We start from the raw sequence: 6,660 nt of genomic DNA, 5'->3' as shown, positions 1-6,660 counted from the left end.
TTATACTGTCAGATATCGGCACGTTATTTATTTTCCTGACAGTTACTGGTCAACTTGTGAGCACCTAAGACTTTCTGTTTTGACTCCCACCATCTCTTCTGTCTACCTTTCCATCCTTCTTTCCCAGGAAAACCATAGAAGAATGGGTTTGGGGCTGTTTCCAGGCAAGGCCAGCAGAGTTTCCATAAACACATCACAGGCTGGCACAAAGGAGATGCAGAAGGAGCAGCCGCAGCATGTACAGTCAAAAGCACTGGTGGAAATCTGAGGATTGTTAACCAAAAGACTTGCTCCAAGTCCCCAAACGCTTTCCTTATGGCACACTGAGCACACTGTGTGTCTGGACAGACAGCTCTTTCAGCTGCCTGGAGCTTTCAGCCCAGGGTTTGAAGCATGACAGGATATGGCAGCCCTGACTCTGGATAATGTAGAACGATGCAACCAAATGCATCAAATTAGAAAATGGAAACTTTTCCTTCCCTGAACTGTAATTTAGCTGTCACTTGGCTTTAAAGCAGCTGAAAACAATTTCTTGAAAGTGAATGTTTATTTCCTGAAGTTTCGGGAATAATTATAGGCCTATTCTCTACATGTTTGACATTCCACCCGCATTTCCCATAACTATGTGAGCAGTGCAAGTTCCTAGCACGTGCATATGGTGATCCTTTGCATTAAAAGATGCTGTTGTTGAATGCATGGCACCTTTTATCTGTGGCATGTCACATGCTTTACCTACAACTCTCTTATCGAGTTCAATGCATTCTGTCAGTGTGTGTGTGTGTGTGTGTGTGTGTTTATGTGTGTGTGTGTTTCCAAGTTCATTTTCTAAATGCTATGAGAAGGATCTACTGGGAAAATTCCTGATTTTACATCTGTCTTACTACAGGAAAAGAAGGGCAATATAATGAATTTTTATGAACCACGTTGCCTAGTGTTCACTGAGAAACCTTTGCCTTTTCAGGGGAAGCTTTTGACTTCACCTGGTGAGGGAGTTGGTAACCTGATGCTATTGTTAGAATAATTATAGTCAAAGGTTTCCATGTCAGCACAGAATTTAGCTCAGTAAGGTTATATATTTTGAAATTCTTGTGCCTCTTCCTCTTAAAATATATGCTCTGCAGAATCAGGTGGGTGAAGGCCAATGAGTTGGTCATAAAACAACTTTTACATTGCTAAAAGGAATGTCTTAGATGTCTACGTGCATAAGTATCAAGTTTTACAGAGACAAGTGTTATATGCATGAGTAGAATTATTGACAGGCTACTTATCTGAGTTTCCTGATATAGGAATTCAGTTTATTCTATTGAATATTAGAGTTAATATTTGGAAATACAATATTTATTATAATGAATAAAATAACTTTTTTTTTTTTTTGAGATGGAGTCTCACTCTGTCACCCAGGCTGGAGTGCAGTGGCGCGATCTGGGCTCACTGCAACCTCTGCCTCCTGGGTTCAAGCAATTCTCCTGCCTCAGCCTCCTGAGTAGCTGGGACAACAGGCATGCACCACCACGCCCAGTTAATTTTTGTATTTTTAGTAGAGACGGGGTTTCACCATGTTGGCCAGGATGGTCTTGATCTCCTGAGCTTGTGATCTGCCCACCTCGACCTCCCAAAGTGCTGGGATTACAGGCGTGAGCCACTGCGCCCAGCCTAAAATAACTCTTTAGTTTGGAGTTGCATGATACTTTAGAGAACTATTTTTACCAGGTTCTGTAACACAACCTACATTTTTCACTACCACCTTTCTGGACAAATGGTGTTATAAGTCTTATTTTGCAGACAGAAAAACTGAAATTCAGAAAAATCTTATAGTCCTTAGACTGAGCATGCTTATGACAAGATTTTCAGAGTGCTCTTCTTAAAATATTAGGTTGGTTTCGAGGCAAACAGCCTTTGCGTGCCACCAAATTCAGCATTTGATTCCTGACGTTAGTCTTATGAATAAGCAATTGTAGTTTCCTACTTATTTTCCTATCCAGGACAGTGATGTTTCTTTATTATTATCTAGGAACATTTTATATAGCTCCTAATTATTTAGAAAATAATTTTATTTCAAACCTCCTACGTTGTGTAGATAATCAAAATTTTTGGCAATACAAACTTTATACTAGAGTTTGTTGTCTTGTGTTATTCTATGAGGCTAAAGGTACCTAAGAATTAGCACAAGTCTACTAAATTTAGTACAAGCACCGTCTTTAAGCTGGTAACGTGAATAAGTACACTTCAGAAAAATCAGCTGAAAAAATCCATCAGTAAGTTTTATTCCCATATTTGTGAATGACAACGTTTCACTTTTGCAAACTGATTCAATTGTAGTAAACTAGCATTTAAGGCATTGTCTGTGAAGACATACATTTGTTATACACAAGACAAATCCGATAGCTGTAGATCTAAGATACTAGTATACAATTATGAATGCAAACTTCTGACTATCCCTCAAGAACACCTATAAAGGAGAGACAGAGTGCTGTTTTTCATCCAAATTAATCCCATAGGGCCCAGAACTCTTAATTGCAGGGAAATATCCTTTTATCATGGTTCATTCTTTGATACCAATTGATGTGGAGAAAAATCCAAACTGGAGAATGGAGGTCATTATAAGAAGCAGATTTTCCCATTTAACAGATATTCAGAATTTAAGTAGAAGTTGATGGAAGTGGGCCCATAGCTGACTTACAATATGATCACAACTTTGATGATTTCACTCAAATTAGCATAGACACTGAGCTATCATAATACCGTGTAACTACTTTGTAGTTGAAGAGTAGGTTGCTATTGGCCACTGTAGTTTAAAAGGCCGTAATTATTTTCCAGTTCCAATCTCACATCAAAATTTCAGATTTGTATATCCAGTCATTTACTCAATGTCTTTGGATGTCTGATAGAGATTTCACATTTAACATGCCCAAAGCTGACTACCAACATTTCCTCTGACGTGTGCTCTACTTACAGTCTTCACTGCCTTAACTGAATGGTGACTACAACCTACCAGTTGCTCAACCAAAAGCCCTGAAGTTATCCTTGTCTCCTCCCTTTTCTCATGCCCTATATTAGTTGGCTGGACTGCCATAACAAGATAACATAGACTGGGTGGCTTAAACAACAAAAAGTTATCTTCTTGCACATCTGGAGACTGGAAGTCTGAGATGAAGGTGCCAGCATGGTCGAGTTCTGGTGGTGGCCCTCTTCCTGGCTTGCACAAGGCCATCTTCACACAGTGTCCTCACATGGCAGTCAGAGAGAAAGAGATCAAGCTCTGTAGTGTCTCTTCTTCGAAGGGCACCAATCCCACCATGAGGGCTGCATTTTCATGATCTCATCTAACCCTAACTATCTCCCAAATGTCCTATGTCCACATGCCATCACATTGGGGGTTAGGAGGACACATGTGAATTTTAGGGGGATACAATTCATTCCACGGTACATCTCAAGTCTAATCTATTAGGAAATCCTCTTGAATCTACCTTCCAAATATATCTAGAATCTAAACTACATATTGGAAACCTAAATAATATTACACTAATGCTGTGGTTCAAGCCACTCCCATCTCTCATCTATATTATTACAATTGCCTCTTAATTGTTCTCCTTTCTTTGACATTGCTCTCACATAAACCAGAGTGAATGTTTTAAACTAAAAGTCAAATCGTGTTATTCCTGTGCTCAAAATCTTACATTAACATCAGCTTTCCACTTCACTTGACTAAAACTGTTTCTTTCCAGTTACCTATGAAACCGCACATGATAGCCTTCCCCAACATACGCACACACCACATACACCTTATTAGTTCTCTGATCCCTTCCTCTATTCTTCTCCCCCTTGCTCACTCTGCTTCAATCACATTGGCCTTGAACTTACATGTCAGGCATGATTACAGCCTGTGTACTGATGCCATGTGTACCCAGAAGACACCCATATTAGCATGACACTCTTTCTCCTATTTCAAGTCTTTACCAAACTCTTGAGGCCTCCCTACTCTCAAATCTCCCCCAACCAACTTCCCAATAATATTTACCCCCCTTTTTTTTCTTTTCTTCCCCATAAGCTTTCATTAATTTTCTTTTTTTATTTTTTGAGATGGAGTCTCACCCTGTTGCCCAGGCTGCAGTGCAATGGCGTGATCTTGGCTCACTGCAACTTCCGCCTCCAGGGTTCAAACGATTCTCCTGCCTCAGCCTCATGAGTAGCTGGGATTACAGGAGCTCAACACCGTGCCGAACTAATTTTTGTATTTTCAGTAAAGACAGGGTTTCACCATGTTGGCCAGGCTAGTCTCGAACTCCTGACCTGGTGATCCTCCTGCCTTGGCCTCCCAAAGTGCTGGGATTACAGGCGTGAGTCACCGCGCCTGGCCTAATTTTCTAATTTACTTTCTTGTTATGTTTATTGTGTACTATCGATCTCATTCTGCTTCAGTGAAAGCTTCCTAGGAACAGAAATCTTACTCTGTTTTGTGCAGTGTCATATCCTAAGCATCTAGGGCAGTGTCTGCATATAGCAGGTGGTCAATAAATATTTGTTGAAGGAAAAAAGAAAAGTTTCGGTTGGAACAGTGACCCTTGTAATTTGAAATTATTAATACATTCCACCACTATTCTGATCTCTTTTTCCACATTCCCTCCTACTTCCACTCCAGCCAACATTAATTGGTCAATGCACACATGAATGCTAACTCACTACTACATATTTCACAAAGTGCAATATGGTAGAGATTTAAACGAAAAGATATGGCTCCTTCCCTCAAATAAGGACAAGTGATTGACAACAAACAGAAAACAATAACACATGTACTATAGGATTCTATGAAAATGTTTAAATTTTGTAAGAGTTTGAGGCAAAAAACATCAGAAAAGTTTGGAACTATAATTGTAAAAGGCTTCCCGGTACAGAAAGGGATTTGAAAAGTGAAGAATAATGAAAATAATATACATAAAACATCATATAATTGTTTTTATGATTATATGACATGTATTATATTCATTTACTTTGTTGTTACATGGAGTAATTCCTTAAATGAAATCACTGAGACTGGCTTCCAAACTGGCTGACTAGGGCCTCTAAGCAGAAGGAAAGCTTGTCAACAGATGTCACATTCTGCTAAACTGACTTACCACAAGAATAGGCTGTTGGGAGGAAGCAGAGAGGTCTCTGTGATTTTCATTCAGTAGTAAATCAGCCAAATCAAAACTCAGGGATACGATGTGGCAAAGAATGTAGGAACCTCAGGCATGTCAGGTTTTCCCTGGAGGGGAGCGGCATAAGCAGGCGAGCACAAAAGCCACATAATCACCTTATTCATGACTTTGAGTTCATCTCGGCTGGTATCGATTGGCAAGCAGTTGCAAAGAGAAAATCATGAATGTCACTCTTAGAGAAAAGCTTAAATATATTAGCTAGCTAATTGAAAGCCTTCAACACACACCAGGCTTCAAGCAGCCCCACAAGAAAACCAGTTAAATTTATCATAGGTGGAATGAGTAGAAGGGAGTCAAGATGATCCCCAAATGCTGATGCCTCCTAACTTCTAACTTTTAAATAGTACATTCTGTTTCTTACAACTTTTGTCTAGTGAAGATGTTTATGAACGTTTTTCATGTTTATTGTGTTTTAGTAATAGAAAAATTTAGAGTAAGAAAACATGCTTATAGAGTAATTTCCCTTACAGTCTTCATGATAATGTATCCAGGAAGAGCTGCTCAATGAAACTCTACTCTGTATTATTAATACTAGTAATCACATACTGCAGTTTAAAGTTTCCTGTCTTGTTAACATGAACTTAAGCAGCTTGACACATTCAAATATGTATAGTGACTCGATTACATACCAAAACCAAATGGCTATAGTTTGTCAACATAATAAAGATAGGAGATAACTATGGTTATGATAGAACAATTAGGATACCATCTGACCAGGGCATGGAATATATGTCCATTCATTCATTCATTTATTTATTCAAAAAATATTTATTCAGTGACTTCTGTTGCAACAAATAATGACTTGATAAAGTGGGTATGGGGAAAATACGAGAAACTTAAAAGTGAGGGTGAGAAATTAAAAAGTTCTGTGTCTTAAAGTAGGAAGCATTAATATTATAAACAGAGAGGTGTCTCAATGGAGCAGTGAAACTCCTGGACAGGATGAAGCAAGTATGGATTAGAGGCAGGAAATGGAAAAGGCCACACTAGGGGTAAAGCAGGGAAGGAGAGGGAGGGTGAGATGTGATCTGAGACAGCTATCAAATACACCCGTAAATAGGCCAAAGTAATAGTTGGATGAGAACAAGGGGAAATTCTTTTTTTGAAAAGTGATGAGAGCAGAAGCCTGTTTCCAGGGTATGTCAGAGGAAATGGAGGCAGTAGACATAGGCTGCTTATTTGAAAAGTTTGAAAAGAGAAAAAAATTACAGCAGTAACTAGAGAGGGCAGCTGGGTCAGGAGAACATTTTCTAAGACAGCGAAGAACTAGACATTTTTGAAGGCATAAGGGTGAAAGCTGTGAGGAGGGTTTGAAGATACCTGAGAGGGCGGAGATCAACTGAGAATTAGAGTCTTTATGGGCCTGGGAAGAGCAGAGTAGGATGGCACAAAAGTGGCTCTGAGCTTTAGAGGAGGAGAAGGACTTGCTTCTGGAGTGGAGACAGGATAAGAAGTAAGTCAC

General features: G+C 39.3%; 1 annotated feature.

The window, feature by feature from the left end:
- Window positions 4,993-5,566: an enhancer, noted in NCBI's record as "OCT4-NANOG hESC enhancer chr5:123360854-123361427 (GRCh37/hg19 assembly coordinates)". NCBI's record gives its function as "activates a minimal SCP1, AML or CMV promoter by ChIP-STARR-seq in primed H9 embryonic stem cells {active_cell/tissue: H9 hESC(primed)}" and the evidence as "EXISTENCE:reporter gene assay evidence [ECO:0000049][PMID:30033119]".

Source organism: Homo sapiens, chromosome 5 (genome assembly GCF_000001405.40).
Source record: "Homo sapiens chromosome 5, GRCh38.p14 Primary Assembly".
NCBI classification, from domain to species: domain Eukaryota; kingdom Metazoa; phylum Chordata; class Mammalia; order Primates; family Hominidae; genus Homo; species Homo sapiens.
This window is presented reverse-complemented; position numbering and strand designations above follow the sequence as displayed.